At 41.2% G+C, this 18,764-nt stretch overlaps 1 protein-coding gene and 1 long non-coding RNA gene across 2 annotated transcripts in view, besides 1 other annotated feature; both read left to right on the forward strand.

Annotated features, from left to right (window-relative positions):
* The window catches only part of LOC124906019 (uncharacterized), a 31,470-nt gene extending 21,825 nt beyond the window's left edge, over window positions 1-9,645 (forward strand). Inside the window, exons 1-2 of the long non-coding RNA XR_007086799.1 lie at window positions 1-9,144; window positions 9,333-9,645. The exon at window positions 1-9,144 is cut by the window's left edge and continues 21,825 nt beyond it. This is a non-coding gene — a long non-coding RNA (uncharacterized LOC124906019). The remainder of the gene's footprint in view (window positions 9,145-9,332) is intronic.
* Window positions 1-18,764, forward strand: part of ANTXR1 (ANTXR cell adhesion molecule 1) — a 236,184-nt gene that overhangs the window by 202,102 nt on the left and 15,318 nt on the right. The gene's annotated exons all lie outside the window — the stretch shown is intronic.
* Window positions 1,852-2,146: a silencer, noted in NCBI's record as "tiled region #2730; HepG2 Repressive DNase matched - State 5:Enh, and K562 Repressive non-DNase unmatched - State 22:ReprW". NCBI's record gives its function as "represses a minimal TATA promoter and a strong SV40 promoter by Sharpr-MPRA in HepG2 and K562 cells {active_cell/tissue: HepG2 | K562}" and the evidence as "EXISTENCE:reporter gene assay evidence [ECO:0000049][PMID:27701403]".

The raw sequence follows: 18,764 nt of genomic DNA on the forward strand, positions 1-18,764 counted from the left end.
GAAGGGTCTCTGGAGACTCACAGCACAGCAACTTTTCTCTCCAAGAAATCCCTTCATACATCCTTCGCCCTACCCAGGCCCCTTTTATAGCCTTCATCTGGCTGAAGAGTCCAAGCATCATGAAGCCAGTTTACAGATGTTTCCCTATTAGGCAACTTATTAGAATATCTTACAGCTCAGAGCATAGTCAAAACTTCCATTTTAACATTCATTACATGCTTATCTCAGATTTTAATTATCCACCCATTTAAAGATATGCCCCATGGGGCATAGACATCATCTGGTTTATTCACTACTACATCCCAGCTATGATAGGCACTCAGTGAATAATTATTGAATTAACAAATTAATGTTTAAGTAAAGTAGCGTCCCCTCCTCAGCCTGCAAGCCATATGGGAGTGGGAACTGAGATTATTTGTACTCAATATTTGCCCCCAGTAGAGTCTAGTAGAATGCTGGCCCATAGTAGGTACTTTAAAAGTGGCTTTGAAAAAAATTAATGAACCTGGGCAAAAGGCCACATTTCTCTAGGTAAGATTAATGGAGGCTCTACTGACCCAGAGCCTCTCTCCCATTCTTCTTCAAATTCTTCACTTGGCTACATTGCTTAAAACTCTGCTAATCAGATATTCTATCAGTTCAAAGCTTTTTTAACAACAAAGATATCACCACTGAGAAAATGGAAGCCAGTCATTTACACTTAAGAAGACAATTTGATACAAGGAATGTACAGGAACACTGTCAGGGGCCTGAAGAGTGCTAGGAGGCACTTAAGAGAAAGGAGATGGCAGGCCCAGAGGTGGGAGCTCTTTTAGAGGCTTGCCAGGGAGACCGTGTGTGCCAGGAGGTGAAAAGGAAGTGGCAGACAAAACCAGTATTTTTTAGAGTTTGCCTTTAGCAAGCTTCCTTCTACACAATTTTTAAGAACCAATTAATTTTTAGAGCTAGAAGGAACCTTTTATATCATCAGATTCCATGGCTTCCAAACATTTTTGAGCCAAAAAACTTCTTCTTTCAATGAAATCTTACCAGAAAGCCAATATGAAAAACAGGTAAGCGGAGATAATCTGGTTCTAGATAGGTGGTTTTAGGTGGGTTCTAGATGTTTGGGCTGGGAAACCAAACATGCACATACACATACATATCTATTAATACATACATACACACATGCATATACATACATATACACACATACATATATGTATATACACACATATATACATGCATGCACATATATACACACATGTACACGCACACACACGATTTTCTCAGAGTAGTCTTCAAACCTCCCCCTCAGAATCACTAAGTGCTCCTGAAACACAGTGTGTCCAGATACAATGAAAGACCCACAGTCATCCTCACCCATCACCATGTCCCAGAGACTGGGCTCCAGAGGTCAAAAGAAAATGAAAGACACTAGACCCTACTGCTCCCTCCCCTTGATCAAGGAGCAAGACCTTGTCCCCTCCACTTCCCAAACTCTTTGTCTATTCTGTAAATGTTTGCAAATCAAAGAAAGAGCCCTTTCACGGGACCACTGAAGACTTCCCCCATGAGTTTAATACTACCAACAAATATTTACTCAGTTCTTCCTACATTCTTGACCCGTGTTTGGCACTCAGAACAAGTGACCATTGTCATTGCTAAGTTAACCAGCACTCTCTGGGTGCTGCCTGTTCAACCTTCTCTGAGCCATCTCAATTGCAGTTAAATATCCCACATCTTTCCATCTTTCCCCTAAATGTGCTTTGAGACACTGTGTGAACTGATCTGCTGAAATGCAGATAAACTACATCTGTCAGCCCCCATCTATGAATCTAGTGAGACTTGCAAAAAAAATGAGGTTTGGCACAATTCGCTTTCGGCAAACCTTTGCTCCCAGGGATGACCACTGTTTCCTGTCTTTGGAACTTATAAGCCATCTGTTTAATAATCTGTCCTAGCTTCCTGCCAAGGACTGACATGCATCTCACCAGTCAGCAGTTCCCACCAAAAGTGCTTAGGGCCTCAGGGCCTCCCATCCCTGCTGCTGGCCAGTGTCCAGCTCACACAAGTGGCCCCCTCATCCCTAATGAGGCCTTACTGGAGAGGATGGGCCACTCGCCTATTGCAAGTGCACAATGTGAATCTGAGAGTTCAGTTTCGTGTAATTATTTCTGTATCAACAACATCAACTCAGGGCTCAAGATCACCTAGGTGAGAGTGTAAGAATAGAGACTTTCCAATTAGCAGAGCTAGGTTTGAAACCTAACCCCACCACTCACTGTGTGGTTTTGACTAATGACCCACTCTGAACTTGTAAAATGAGCCCATGGGAGCTCATGGTTGTGATTACTAAATGCAATATAGTGCATTTAGTATATGCAATATTGTGCATGAAATGCTCAGCACAGTGGCTGGTGCATATCAGCATTGTTATTATTAAAAGAAAATACCCTTATTAATTAACTACTGCAAGTCAGGGGTGGGAATGGGACAAGGAGCAGGCCTGGGTGGAGGGCCTGTGTGTGAGGGGACTATTCATAGGTACCCAGTTCAATTCTTTTTCTAGGCACTAGCGGTATATGGAAAAGATCCTCTTCCCTGTAGAGCTCGAATTTCATGGAGAAGAAATTATGAGAGAATGTCTGTCTCCTTTCAGTCACCTGGCTTGTGGATTTGCTATCCCCAGGTGAAACCAAGGCCCTACTGGACTGGCCCCAGGCTGATTCCTGGAGGAAGCTACTTTTCAGAGGGGCACACAGGTTATCTCATGGACAGGTTCTTCAGGGTGTCTTCTAACCCCCAGAGATCTGAGGACAAAGGATTCCTATCATCTCCTTGAGCAACTGTTAAGGAGGCAGAGAGGAGCCGGGTGGAAGGTCCTCAAATGAACAAGGTCAACCAAGCGGCAAAGGTTCTAACAGTTCATTCTCCTGGCCCTCGTGTGAAAACTGCAGAAAAGTCACCCCATGCCTTTGTAGATTAAAATTAAGCTGGCAAGATTCAGCTGTAGTGGGCTTTAGATGGTCTGGGTCACTTTCTGAAGCCAATTTCTTTTAAAAGCTCTCAAGCTGAAGGCAATAATACTAAATGACAGCTGAGAATTTTAAGTTTTATTTTCAGTTCTGGAAAAAAAGGGGGGGATGGGTATCCCTTTATATTTTTATACTGAGGACAAGTCAGTAGGGAGATTTCATTGTGTTGTCGGTGTAAAAGTAATCAACTCAGTGTGCCATAGCCAGGAATTCAAACTGCTTGGAAAATGCAGGTGTAGTTAGCCCTTTTCACTGGAAAATACACTGGACAGTGACGTGGGTAGGTTAAGAGCAGAGAGCTGCTGGGAAGATCTGCAGAAAGGGCAAGGTTGTCTGCCACATTCCTTCTTCCTAAAGCACTTATGCCATCTAGGTGAAACTGGGCTGTTCTAGGAGGGGTAGTACTTCCTGCTTTAACACTAACCAACTTGAAAATCACACTGGGAACAAAACCATGACAGCCAGGAACACAGCACCAGAAGGTGAAACCCAGCCCAGAGTATGTAGCCGCTGTAACTTACAGCATTAATAAAAGGCTTACAGAAAACCAAAGGCCTATTAAATATCCCTGCCCCACCTAGACTCACCACTTAATTGGGGTGGGAAGCCTCAAGGCAGAAGGAGTATAAATGGTTCCAAAGGCCGGAGCGACTTTGGTCTGAAAGGCCCAGGTCCAATTAAAACAAACCAGGAGCCTTAATAACTGCTCCGTTTTGACATCGGGAAACCCACTCTAAATTCTGTCAATGGCTATGATGTAGAGATTTTATTATGATTATTATTTCATGGACTTAATGAATGCTTAAAAGAATTAAGCCACGATAAGACCCAAGGTCATAACCTCCTCATCCACCACGAAAGGGCAGCTTGCCCCAGAGCCAGCCTCTTCTTGGGAGGCAGTCCCCAGGTCCCTGGGTTCTGGTGGTCCTACTATTTGATTTGGGGTTGATTTAGAGCATGCACAAGCAAAATGGGCTGTAGGCCCTTGCCGTGACTGTAAAGGCTTCTGTGTGCGTAGTCATCTCCTCAACCTGCCAGAAATTCCCCAAAAGGAGAAAGGTTAATCCCTCTAACTTAAGGAATTTTAGCCTAGGTAACATCACAGTGTCCACCAGAAGGAGGACACACACACACACACACACACACACACACACACACACCCTACTGATGAAAATTAGGTTATCTATCTCCCTTAACCAACTGGCTATGAGTACATCTTGTTCTTTTATGCATTCACCATTTTTTTGTATTGCTAATGAGCCACAATAAGCAATATTGAGTATTTCTTACTGAGTTGTATTGAGTCCTTCACCATGAGCCAGGCACTATATTATATGCTAAACAAGTTCATTTTCTTTGTGTATCACAAACCTTTCTGATTATAAGCAGTACTTATTAAGTGTTATGTTATCAACGTATATTAAAATGACAAATTCTCTTGGTAATCATGATTCAGTAGATACAGGGTGGGGTTTTGTCCTCTGTTTTTAACAAGTGGCCCAAGGGATGCTTATGATCAAGTCATTGTCCTAGAAAGCTTCCCAGCTTGTCCGAAACCTCTTGACTGAAGTGCCCACAGACTCCTCCACCATCAGAAGGGTCCCCTTTCCCACTGTGTTGAGCCCTCCCATAAGCATCTCCATCCTTCCTGATTTTTTTTTGAACAGGCTTTTAGCTGCTGAAAAGCAAAATAATACCCTCAAAGGAAAGTTTTATTGGAGGGAAACTGTCTCAAACTGCAGACAGTATCTTTTTGCATTTTATTAAACCTGCAGAGCTAGAGCCATGATTTAAAGCAATGGGTGGCCAAGTAACTTGAAGTCTATTTTAGTTACCATTTTTGTTACTGATGGTTCCACCTACTCAAAAGAAAAAATAGTGAATAGAAATATTAATATAGGAAGCCAAGGCAGTCTCATGGCTGCAAAGAAACATTGGTTCTGTGCCCTGACCTTCCTCTTTGTGGCTCAGATTTTCCACCTAGGGGAGGGTGATTTTTGCTCTCTCCTCATCATACAGAGCTGCTGAAGGGATCCTTAAGAGAAGGCTCTTCTAGACTTTGAGTTTCCTGACCAAAATTAAACCGTTGCAGTTGTAGTATCTTTCTCTTAAAGTGGGTTTCCTCATTCACCAGACATTACCATTAGAGCCTGGAGTGATGAGAAATGTCTAAATGTAGGTAAATAGACAAAGACTTCCAGAGTTTTCCCATGTATTGTCAATGGGGCAACAAGGCATTGCCCTGAAATCTCTGGGTGTGTGACATTAAGATTACAGCTTGTATGTAGAACATAAAAGGCCTCTTTATACTCTATGATTATGAATTATGATAATCTTTCTTAAAGCAAGTATGTATATATTGTTATTTATTCTTTAAAACAACTTTTCAAAACATATATTCTCTATCTCAGCTTAAGTTGAATGTACTTCTTAGAATGAATTTATGTAGCAAGTCAACTCTGCTCTGTGCAGACAGGGTCAGTTGTCTTCTCTCTGAGCAGATTGTTGGGGGCCAATCCTAGCTAACTATGAAACTAAAGGATGGAACAGTTGACCCCTGGAAGTCCCTATGCTCCAGTGATCTCTCTCCGTGTATCAAATGGTCTTGAAACTCTTAAAAAGATTGTTATTACCTCAAATAGAAAGGGTGATTGTATTTGATATATCCTGGGAACACTGCTCGTATGCACCATCTTAATAAAATGAAAGCCTATTAAATAAGACATCATTTAAGGAATAGAGGAGATGGATGGAATGCCACAGAAAAATGTAATGAATATTCATTTATAGATTGAGAAGTGGAAACATATGGGAAGGCTTGTTTGGGGTTTTTATTTTTTGCAACAATATGGGGCTCTTAAATGACACTACACATTTATAACAGCTACCTGTTGACCAAGAGCTGTAAAGGGACTCTCCAATTACAGAGGAGCAGAGCCCAGTGGATGCTGTTCCTCAAAATAGTCATCTCCCATTGAGATCTATTTAAGAATACCTTTCAAAGAGTATCTTTACAGTTTTATGCACCTAAAATACAGTAAAATCTCACATAAGGAGATATCAGAGTTGGGGGGCTTATTAGCTCATATACTGATACAAAAGTTTATTTCTTTTCAGTTCTCCAGATTAAGCCCCATTTTGTCCCTATATCATAATTCAGCTTTCATTTGAGTGAGAGTAAAAGGGGATCTAAGAATAAAGTAAAAATAAAAGAGACTCAGTAGCATCTTAGTTCTGAGACCCAGAGACCATTTAGGAGGCTACTGTAATGTCAGGCAGAATAACAAAGCAGAAGGTGGCTGGGGGTGACCCTGGAGTCACTGGATGGTGAAGAAGGGGTGGAGTTCTGATCACAGAACAACCAGAGAGAGACTCTCAGTGAGTCAATTAAATTTTGCCTAAACTTAGTTTTCCCCACTACAAAAAAAAAAAAAAAAATTCCTGTTGCATCACCTCAAAATAGGAGATCCATTGAAATGTGAAAATGATGAAATGTGGAAATAAATATGTACTTTGCAAATAATAACAATGGCTGTGTGGAGTTAGTGAGCCCAGGATTTTCTCTTCTCTTTTTTCCATAGAGTTTTTAGTGCCTTTAATTGCTTTTATTTAATAAAAGAAATGGTAATTTAAGAGGAGAGAGAGAGAAGCAGATGTGAGCTTTAAGGGATGACTATAGAACCAGATCTATGATGTCTGAGCTAGACTCCTTAGCGGGTTTCGGAAAAATGTTCCAGCCCATTAATTCAAAGCCTGAGTGAGGAGGTGTGAGTGACTGGTCACACCAGGACACAGTGGTTCTCTGCAGTGGCCACTTCCGCTGACATTACATCCAACACCACCATCACTTCTGTGGCCCAGGTCTCCCAGGACACTCATTTGCAAGTTCACCATTGTTAAAAATCACTCTCCTGTCTTCTTGTCATTCTCCTTGTCTAGTGATCCCCAAGGTTTCTGGACTCAGAGCTTTGGTATGAAATTCAATCTTCACTTAGTTTACAATTTTTTTCTTCACCCAGTGACAGTGTGATGAGGTAATGTTTTCTAGCAGACCGGCTCAAGATTTGAACCTTTAAAAGTGAAAAACATTGAGAGCTTAAAAGGCCAGTGTTCAATATTCCTTCAGTGATTTTAAGTGGACAGTAATGTCTTCCCAGATATTAATTCCAGAGTGACAGAACTATCATTGTCTCCATCTGCCCCCACAGCAAAGTTGTAGTTAGTCATTCTCTGTAACAGTAGTAATGAACTCTCTAGTTATAAACAAGCAACCCAAGAAAAATTTCATTTCCCCAGAGACCATTTAGGAGGCTACTGTAATATCAGGCAGAATAACAGCAGACCGGAAGGGGGCTGGGGGTGACCCTGGAGTCACTGGATGGTGAAGAAGGGGTGGAGAGCGAAAAGATGCTGGAGGAGGAGGCATCCTTATCCAGGTTGCCTCAGACTCCTGCAGAAGGGACCCAGCCCCAGCCCTTGCATATCAAGAAGAGAAACTCAGAGGACTCTTCTCATTCACAAGGAAATGTTCTGAAGCTGTGAGACTCTGACATTTGTGGTGTATAAACCACTTTCGCATGGCCCAGAACCTTCTGTGAGGTTCCATTCTGCATAAATTACAGTTTTGTAATCACTTTTTCTAACTGATGCTTTTTGTGCTCTTTAATGTGCATTCAGATATGAGGGGAGGTGGCATCCTTTTATTTATTTAAAGAATGCACGTCTTTATGATTTGCCTTCAGAAAGAGGCTCTTTACTATCAGCATGTCCCACCTTTTGGGGACCCTGAGGTCCAGTGTGGAGAAGCAAGGAGCTGGCTCTCCTCCAGCCTGGAGTAGCTGTGATCAGCCTCAAGTCACCTCTACTCAGAAGGTCCCCAGAGGCCTGTGCAGGCTGGCAGATGGCCCAGGACTTGAGATCACTTCAAGTGTGCATGGATAGGGAGGAAAGCTATACAGACTCATGTGACCTATAACTTGGACATTAACAGACCAAAGGAAATGCCATGCCTTACTCAGAGCCAATTTCTCTTTAGAAGAGAATTCTAAATTCTAAATTCTCTAATTCCTGTGTCACTCTCCAAGTCCCCTGCAGTCTTCCTCCCATTGTCTTTTCTCTTTTGTTTGGTAACTTTTCTTTCCTACGAATTTACCAGCCTGAAGAGATGAAAGTCCTGAGTTTTCCTACTTCCTTATTACACAAATGGAGGAATAAGGAAAGCTGTTGTTGGAAGGATAGCACTCAGTAGATGAGCAAAGCAACTCAAGATTGTCTCCTTTAGCTCCAGTAAGTTTGATCCAAACTGGGAGGTCACCGATGAAGCTTAGATCAAACAAGGGCCAACATCATTGTCATCAACACCATCACTGTCATCATCATAATGACAAAAATGACCCAAAAATGTTCTAATTTTTGAGGAGGTTTGCTTAAAGTGAAGAAGGTTTTAATATCTTCATTGTGTGCTAGATTCTTTAAATCAGAATAATCAAACTGAGGTGTTAAGAGAAAGAATATCAGAAAATCAGGCAAGACCTTGCTTAAGGAAATATGAATTGCCTAAAGGAGGAAACGGCTAAAAATTACAGATGATTTGCTTGATCTCGAATGTAGGTGTATACCCAATTTCAGTTAACCTTTGGGTATGTGATAAGCAAAAACCACACCTCCACCCTTCCCTTAGAGTTTTCAACTCTGGCATATAAACTGTGTTCTCATCTCCACCCGGTCCTGCCAATGACAAGTTGAATGCTGTCTACTATAACTGCATGGCCAGGGCCCCTGAGTAGCATTTAAGGTAATAGAAAAAGCCAGCTAGTGTGCCAATAGCCTTTGAGAGATGACCTGTACTGATACAGATTCCAGTTTATCTTTGGCATAAGCCAGCCAAAAACACAAATAGGATCTCCTCAGAAGCACTTTCAAGGCTTACAGACTGGGAATTTTCCTTTTGATACCATCCTCATCAATCGTCAGATTGTGTATGATCATTATTTCAGAGACTCAAACCAGAAGTAATGTTCATGTAACTACCAACCTTCTGAAACAGAAGGTTGAGATCACTGTTGGTTTTTGTTGACAGAAGATTGTGGCAACACACTTTGAAAGTAGGCGAAAGGTAATCCAGAAGGTAATCAGCCGTAAAATTGTTCTGTTTATGGGAAGAATGAAGTACCATGTCCTGCTGCTGCTCTTCACTTTAGTTTTATCACCCTTTTTCCTCCCTATTCCCTTTCCCTGCCCTCAAATCTCTACCTCCCTGCAAGTGCCCTACTTCCAAGTTTCAGAACTTGGGCTTGCATTCCATTCCATCCCTAGGGAGAGAGCCTGCAGGGCCCCACCGTTGCTCAGGCCCTCTCTTGACCAGAGCATAAAGGATTGGCAGACACTCTGGCAGGATCCTGCACAGCAGTCTTCAGATACAGCTGCTCTTCCATCCCCAAACATGAAAATCTGTGGCTCCTGGCAGCTTGGAAAATGTCATTTTCCCATGAAAATGACGTAAGAGGCAGAAGAGTCTCAACTCCACTCTCTGTTACAAAAGTATTCCTCCTAAAATATTAATATTTGCGCTTAGTCCATATTATACCATGTGACTAACATATGAAAAGAAATCTTCTTGGAGATTAAACAAGTCTCTCTTGGGCTCATTGCACAGTTTGGGGAGGTAAGCTCCAGGTCAGAAGCTGCCTGGAGACATCTAGAGTGTCACCCTCCCTCCGTTTTCTGTGGTGTTCCCAGCCTATGTGAATGAGCTCATGTGCTGACCTCCTGGCCAGCCCCTCTCTTCCCTTCTCTGTAGTGCTCTGCACACTTTGGTCCTTTTGCCTCCCCCCATTCCCTCAAAATTTGACATTCCTATGTCCCTTTATCCCGATCACCACCACTCAAATTTCACAGTCCCGAGCACCCTTTCCCTGGCCTCAAAAGAATAGATCTTTATGCTGGCTAACCCACATGTTACTGGATGCCAGTGTCCAGGGAATTTCTCTCCTGGGTAACACTCTGGCATTTTAAAAGGAGTCTCCATGAGATGCCCACAGGGGATCCCTAATGTTGAAAATATCAGACTGAGCCGGGGACAGTGGCATATGCCTGTAGTCCCAGCTACTCGGGAGGCCAAAGTGGAAGGATCGCTTGAGCCCAGTAGGTTGAGGCTGCAGTGAGCCATGATCATGACACCGCACTCTAGCCTGGGCGACAAAGTGAATTTAAAAATTTATTTTTTATTTTATTAAATAATTTAAAAATACATATATCAGACCAATTGGTAGTCTGGACATGTCCGGGGTGCAGAGAGTAGGAAGAAGACACCTCAAGGCAGGGAAATTTTGGTGTTCTGCTCAGCTCGCTACCAGAGGCACTCATTAACCTCATGGGTAGGGGAGAAGCAAGGGAGATGGGATGCAGGAGAGAGGCGAGCTGAGAAAAAGCAACAGGTTTAGAGAAACTGATGATGCAAACCCCCAAACTCCCTCTCCAGCTTCACAATGTAGTTCTTTAGCCTCTTCAGGGAGCTTATGGATTGAACACTAGCAAATGTTGGGTGCTATTCCAGAGCTTCTTTTAGGCCAAAACCAAATAATATGACAAAGTCCCTGCCTTCAAAGAAAGAAGGCTGAAAGGCAAGAAAGGACCAGGTGGGAATTGTGATGGCCGGAAAGAGGACAAGGAGTATTGCTGTTACTATTGGGCTTTTTGCTTATTCATAATTTCAACCACTGCATAGCTAAGACTCCCAGAAAATCAGAGTGAGCTGTTCAGAACTGCAGTGTGTCCCCACACTGCCTCTCCATTGCATTCCTCTGCCTCAGTCCCAGCCACATCTCTCAGCCTCAAGAATCCTGTTCCTCAATGAGGGGGTTGGTAGCCATAGCTCGGGGGAGTGGGCCAAACCACGAGCACCCCCACTCATTGCAGGGTCTTTGGAGACTGAACAGAGATTGTTCTTACTAAGCATGAGGTCACCTTTCTTTTCCTGGACTGTCTGGATTCACAGAGTTTCTTTGGGTTCTCTGGCTGAATTCACTCCAGGGCTGATCTCTGTGAGCAGCCCCTGGGATCTAGCTCAGAGAGACTCCTCCAGGGCCCAGTCCTCATCCCCTGTGGAATGGGACCTAGTGAAAGACCAGTCAATTGGGGAAGGATGTGGAGCAGGTCATGAGGCCGGAGGAAGGCAAAGGTCAAGCTAGTTCCAAAGGCCTCATCAAGCGGTAGGAAATGGGAGAGCCTAGGAGCCAAAATGGTGGTTGAGAAGTAAGAAATGCTGCAAGCCAGGAGCAGCAACAAAAGCAGTGAGAGGAGGCTGAGAAGAATTCGGGAGTCAGAGGCCCATCCAGGTACTTGGGGTGACCTTGTTATCCTGGTAAGGGTTTGTGCAACTAGGAGGAACCATTGAAATAGAAGAAATGAAGTAGAGGTCATACCGTTTGTCATCTCTCCAAGTGGAGCTTTCTGCTGAGTCCACTTTTAATGAACAAATAAAATTCGTTGGTAATTAGCGACATTCTTTATTTATAATCCAGGTGCTGAAATCCCCCCAAAGCTTTACCCTGCCTCTTTCCAAAAGATTTAACATATATATTTTTTTTCCTCTTAAAGATTCCTCTTACAGTCTCAATATGAGTCCAACAACCATTTCTTCCCAGATCATACAGAACACGAGCTCAGCCCAGCCTGGGGAGAAGTATCACAGACATTTAATTAGTGCAGGCTGGATTCGTGAAGCATTTCGTGCACCATGAAAATGGGGCATTTTGATACTGGCTCATGGTCTTATTTCAGATCCAACTTCTACATGGTCTTGCAATTAGGAAGAGTACTGGGGCCCAGTGGAAGCCTGAAAACAGTTTTGAGGTTGGATAACTTCATGCTTTTTTTTACTCCTAAATGAATCCCAGATTTTGAGTGCTGTAAATTTTCTGTTTTTCTGTCTGACATCAGCCAGAATACTTCAGGGTTTTGACTACTGTCTTCCTTTAGTTTTATCTGAGAGGCACTCTGGCAGGATCATGGCAGCCCTTACCTAAAAAGCAGATAAGTCCAGGAAACAGTCCAGAGGCTTCTGGGAGCCAGCTGGGCAGGTCTCACCTCTTCAAAGGTGGGCATCCAACTCCATGGTCAAAAAGTAAGAGGCTGCCCAAAGCCCAGCCTAATCCCAGAAGATCACCACAAGAGCCTACCACAGCACCCCAAATGCCCAGCACTGGGGCCGCTCCTTTAGAATAAAATACTGTCATCAGAAGGTTCCTTTCTTGAATTATATTATTTAGGTTAGAAGTTCAGCTGACCTACCAAAAGCCCAAAATAATACAAGCTTCAACTATCGAACTTTTTTTTCCCCTCTCACATATAACTCTCCGGGAATAAACTGTCCAGGATCAACATGGCAGCTCCATGCTGTCAGGTGCCCAGGCTCCTTCCATCTTGTTTCTCCACCACCCCAAGAGTGTGGTTCTTGTCAGCATAGTCCAAGAATGAAAAGGGTTAGGGTGTGCCCTTTAAGGCACAGCTTAGAATTTGGACATATAATTTCTGCTCACATTCAGCTGGCCAGAGCATAGATTACATGGCCACACCTTGATGCAAAGGAAGCCACACCCACCTGCAATCCTTGCACCACACTAGGTCAAGCTCAGCATCATTTACTGCCTCTTGAAGCAGCTTTTGCAAGGAAGGCTGGGAAATGTAGTCATTGCTGGCTGGTCATGTGGCCAGTGAAACTCAGGGGTTCTACTACTAAAGGAAGAAAGTGAAAATGCATATGAGAGACAGTTATCAATCTCTGTCACAGTATATTTTTGTGTCTATGGAAAGATAGAGCCTATTAAGAAATAAACCACTATAGTGGACCCAGCTTGTGGATCTGATTAGAGGTTTGTCCCTTAGAAAGCACAGAGGATTATAAGGGGAGAGGCACATAGGACAAGTAAATTATGATTGGAAAAAGGGATAGGGATACACAAGGCACTTCTCCAGGAAGGGTTGCTGCAGGGCACTGAAATCCTAAAGAAGGAAGAAATAGAGACATGGAAAGCTGGAACAGAACAACGGAGGCTGGGTAAGTGTTGGGACCCGTGGAAACTTCTCAAATGGGTAATATTACTGGTGGCCAACTCTTTTCATGGCTATGCTTCTTGATTCATTCTGCCCTAGATTCATTCCAATCTAAAAGCACATGTTGCTCAAAAGAAAGAGCATAGAGTCTAAACAGACCTCGATTTATATCTTCACTCGGTCACTTACTTACAGAGATAGCCTGGGAAAATTACGCAGCCCCTGAGCCATTTCTACATTTTTGAATCAGGATAATGGGGATATTAACCAATGGTGCTTTTAGGAGAACAAAATGAGTTGATGAATATAAAGCAGCTAGTACCAAGCCTGGCATAGGGTAAGCACTCAGTGAGTGGCATTTGGGATTAGTATGAAACTTTTCACTCCATAACAAACAACTTGTCCCTCAAATGAATACATATGAGTAGGGGGCTTGGCCAGTGTGACAATGTTGTGGGATAGGAAAAAGGTGCATGTGTGAAGTGCTGAGAACCTAGCAGACACCTACCCATTTAGGATGCTTCTCTTAGTGTGCTCAGGCTGCCATAACAAAATACTATGGACTGTGGGCCTTAAACAACAGAAATTTATTTTCTCACAGTACTGGAGACTGGAGGTCTGAGATCAGGGTGCCAGTGTGATCAGGTTCTGGTGAGGCCCCTCTTCCAGGCTGTGTGCTCACATAGCCATTTCTTGGTGCATGTGTGAGTAGAATGAAAACAAGCCCTGTGGGAACTCTTCTTCTAAGGGGACCAACCCCATCATGAGGGAGGCACCCTCATGACCTCATCCAACCCTAAGTTCCTCCCAAAGACCCCACCCTCAAATACTATCCCACTGGAGGCTGAGGCTTCAACACATGGATTTGGGGAGACACACACATTCGGTCCATAACAGTGCCACTCACTGGCAACAATACAGGAAGCACAGAAGCAAACTTGTTCTTTTTTAAAAAAATTAATATTCCATTTTGGGGAAAAGGTGTTGACAGCTACTGGCATAGGAAAAGAACTCATCCTGAAGATGGCATTCCTCGATTGGTGCAAAAGAAGAAAACAAACCTTCATCCATGAGCTTGTATATATGGAGCGGGATGATATCAGCGCTGTGCACCAGATGAATCAGTAATTTTTACATTTTCACATCCAAGCTAAATAGTGCTCTTGACCAAAAAATCTTAGTCGGTTTATCTTCTGGCACCAATATTTAAAGCAAATACCTCAACATAAATAAAATAATAAATTGAAAGACTATACTAATTGTCGTTCTAAGTAGTTAGAGTCATTTAACTGGGGACAGGAAAAATATCCTCAAGATTCTTAACAGGTGAGACAGAAAGGGCAAGAAGGAAGACTCTAAATAATATTAGTTCATCCTGGGTCAGACTTTCACTCACTCAGCATGACCATGCCATGGTGGTTTTTTTTTTTTTTTTAATCTTAGAAAAGTGCATTAAATCTAAAGTATTAGTGAGACCCATCCAAAATGTTGATTAAAACCAGGCTCTTTGGAGAAGTAATTGCTACACTGCTTGGCAGGACCCAGGAGTGTACATTGGACTTGATGCCATTGATGAAGAGATGATGGTCAGTACCAATGGCTGGTTTTAAGAAGAGCAAAGTTAAGAAACAATATTTAGGATGTGCCACACTGGGTCACCACTCAGCATGATTTGCTTCCTCTTAATGTTTTCAACTTTCTCTACCACCTCTAAAGTATACTACCCAGGGTATCTCTGCATAATTCTTTGTCTTGCCCCTTTGAAAGGTTTGAATTCTCAGAGCCAGTCCCTGTTTAGTGACAGCACTTTGGCCACCTGATCACTTTTCCTAAATCTCCTTTCTCCAACCCTATTTTGTCTTTATTTTTTGAAATTTGTCAGAACTAAACAGGTGCAAACAAAACATGCCATGATTTTATATAGTGCTATGAGATTTAAAGAAGGGATTTAAGCATCAGACAAGGAGGTTTTATTTCCTTATGTCATCTAGTATATTTTTGCCTTTTTTAGCTACAATGGTTTATCGACCTTCCTCAGGGGCCATCAGAGTGAGTCCTTTACCACTTGGCCTTACAGTTTCATTCATTTGTATGGCAAGTAGTTGTAACTTTACGCGTAGGGTAGACATGGAGAGTTAGCATTTCATATAGCCTTAGGACAGAGTTTGTTCATCCCTATTTTGATGGCACGGCTACTTTATCTTACTGTGTTTCCTCTGTGTCCAAGTATTTATTAATATTTTTTAAGATTTTCAAGTCAAAATGGCAATTTGAGTATATGTATGTAGCCTGACTTCAGAATCGGGAGAGACTTTTCAACCTTGAGCTACCCACTGGCAGCGTGAGAGAAGGTGATAGGATGTCATAGGCTCAGCTTACACAAGTAAGCATGCACAAGTGTGTAAATAGGCAAAAACCCCTTTCCAGATTGCAACATTTTTCCCAGTCCTGAGTTCAGCCCTTTCTCACCAACATAACAATCTATATTTCTTTTAACTTTTATTTTAGGTTTGGGGGTACATGTGAAGGTTTGTTACATAGGTAAACATGTGTCATGGGGGCTTGTTGTACAGATTATTTCATCACCCAGGTATTAAGCCCAGTACCCAATAGTTATCTCTTTTGCTCCTCTCCCTCCTCCTACCTTCCCCACTCACGTAGACTCCAGTGTCTGTTGTTTCTGTCTTTGTGTTCATAAGTTCTTATTATTTAGCTCCCACTTGTAAGTGAGAACATGCAGTATTTGGTTTTCTGTTCCTGCTTTAGTTTGCTAAGGATAATGGCCTCCAGCTCCATCCATGTTCCTGCAAAAGACATGATCTCATTCTTTTTTATGGCTGCATAGTATTCCATGGTGTATATGTACCACATTTTCTTTATCTAATCTATAACCTACATTTCAAAATGAACACTGCAGGATAATATCCAGAGGACAGAAAAGGAAATGTGTGATGGTTACCTTTGGGGTTATATCTTTCTGTCATCCAGTTATCCCATCTTTCTCCTGGGGACCTTGGGTTCCAGTGGCATAAAGTCCTAGTCCATCAGGCAATGACTAAAGCACAGATCGGGATCCTTCGCAGCAACTTTAGGAAGGGTGCCAAGTTCAGAGTCCAGAAAAAAAAAGGGAAACCTACAACTCATACTCAGCTTCCACACACCATGAATGACCCCACTAGGCAAAGAGATGAGTTGCTTCTTGTTTCAGTATTATTCCATAACAAACCATCCAAAAACCTAATGACTTAAACTATAATTTGCTATTTTTCCTCACATTTTTTGGGTCGATTGGGCTCAGTTGGATAGTTCTCATTTAGAGTCTCTCATGAAGCTGCAGTCAGATGGCGGCTGGGGCTGGAATCACTGGAAGGTTGATTGGACATCCCAGAGGGCTTCTTCACTCCTTTGACCGCCTTCATTGTACCTCAACAGGCCTCCCTGCAGTAGGCCAGCCAGGATTTCTTACATGGAGGCTCAGGGCACCAAAAACAGGAAGCAGAAACTGTCAGGCCTCAGAGGCAGGCTCAAAGCTAGCACATCACTTTCATTATATTCAAAACAATCACAGCCAACCGAGATTCAAGGGAGTAGAGGCATAGACCCCTCCTCGCCACAGCACATGTGTACTACAGGGGGAAAAGATGGCAGCCACCTTTGCAGATAAGCTACCACCACCACAAACAGGAAGCAAGAATTATTTGGGATGGAAGATTTTCCTTCTGCCCAGAGAGCCCTGAAAGAGCACCCTCTGTGCTACTCTTGGGTGGCCCAGTGATTAAAGAGCAAAGTTTGTGCAAATATAATTGTGTAAAACGTTGGAGAAAAGTAACTTAATAAACTCACAACCACCCTTGGACTTCAATAAAGCAAGCAGATGAAAAAGTAAATAAAAGATATAGAGGCTTTAATTAAATCGAATCAAAAAATGATTAATGGATATTTAACAGCACCCTTCAAATAAATAATTCATATTATTTTCTTAACTTGTAAAAATCAACTATAACTTAGGCCACAAAGAAAACCTGAAAAAAGAGAGAACATATAATTTTTAGAGTCCACATATACCACCAAAAATAAAAATAAAAATCTACAATTTAGCAATAAGGGATTAAACTCTTGCTTCAAAAAAGCACTTAGACACCACTGCACTCCAGCCTAGGCGACAGACCGAGAGCTTGTCTCCAAAAAAAAAAAAAAAGCACTTTGAAGTTTTAAAAGCAGTCTTATAAATTACTATTCAGTCCAAGAGGAAATCAAAACTGCAATTAACTGGGATCCTAGAAAATAATGACAATTGGAACATCTCAATAAAAACTTGTGGGATTTGGAAACATCATAGCCTTAAATTCTTTCATTATTAAACAAGAAAAAATGAAAACAAATGAGATAAGAATTAGGTAAAACTTAGAAAATAATATGAAACAAATCTACAGACAGCAGAAACACGGAATCTATGAATAAAAAACAAATTAATGAAAACAAAGCAAAATCAGTAGAAGCAAGAAATAAGTCTTTAAGAATTTCTTTGGAACTACCAGTATCATCGATGAATCTTTGAAAGACAAATCCAAAAAGGAAGGTTAGAACATGAAAATATGTAATTATTAAGAAAGACAAAAGGACTATCACAACGAAGGAGATTTGTTTACCTGTAAGAATGCCCTGTGAACAAAGTACAAATCTATGCAAATGCTTCTAAAATCTTGATGAATTATTTTCTAAGAAAGGATAAATTACAGAAATTGACTCAAAAAAAGTACAAAACCTGAATAAATCAATATCTGTGGCAAAAATTTTTAAAGGCATCAAAGAACTATACTTTTAAATAACAGCATGTCTAGAAAATTTTTGAGAGAATTATCTCATGCTTGTGTACTTGTTATACGACAAGTAATTCTTATGCTATTTCAGAAATACAGAACATATAAAAAGATGAAAATCCTCCCAAATTGTTTTGTGAAGTTAACATAATCTTGATGAAAAGTAGCTCACAACAAAAGAAACATGGCCAAATTCACCTGTGAATTTGGGTGCAAAAATCCTAAATCAAAGAGAATTAATTTCAGAACTTTTCAAAAGTTTGTTTCAGAAATGTGCAGATAATTTTTATTAGAAAAAAATTTATAAAATATATATCAGTAGGTGAAAATATAGGAAAAATATAATGATCTTGATATCAAAAAGATTCTGATAGAATTTAAAATATTACTTTTTGAAACTATCAACTGTGAATAGGAAATTATTTCCTTAACATTAATAAAAATATCTATCAATAGGGTTATCTTACTTTATATCAAAAAGGTGTTTGATATTTGCTTAAATTTTTTTAAACACTTAAACTGGAATTAAAGTATATTTTTAACAGAAGTAAGGATATCTAAACTATTATGAAATACTGAAGGTATTCCCACTAAAGACAAGAATAAGATAAGGACACCTGACATCACTTCTAATCAATGCAATAAAACAAGAAAATGTAATAATAAGTAAATATTAGAAATGGAAAATATTAAATTATATCAACAGAAATACTGTAAGAGAATTCAGTAAAATATTTAAATACAAAATAAATATACTAAGAGTAGGATGCTAAAATAGAGAAAAGAAACTTTACAATAGCAACAATAAAATAAATCTAGGAATAAATGTTTAAAAGAAGGCTGGAACTTACATTCGAAAATCACAAATTTGGAA

The sequence above is a fragment of the Homo sapiens genome, chromosome 2 (genome assembly GCF_000001405.40).
Source record: "Homo sapiens chromosome 2, GRCh38.p14 Primary Assembly".
NCBI classification, from domain to species: Eukaryota; Metazoa; Chordata; class Mammalia; order Primates; family Hominidae; genus Homo; species Homo sapiens.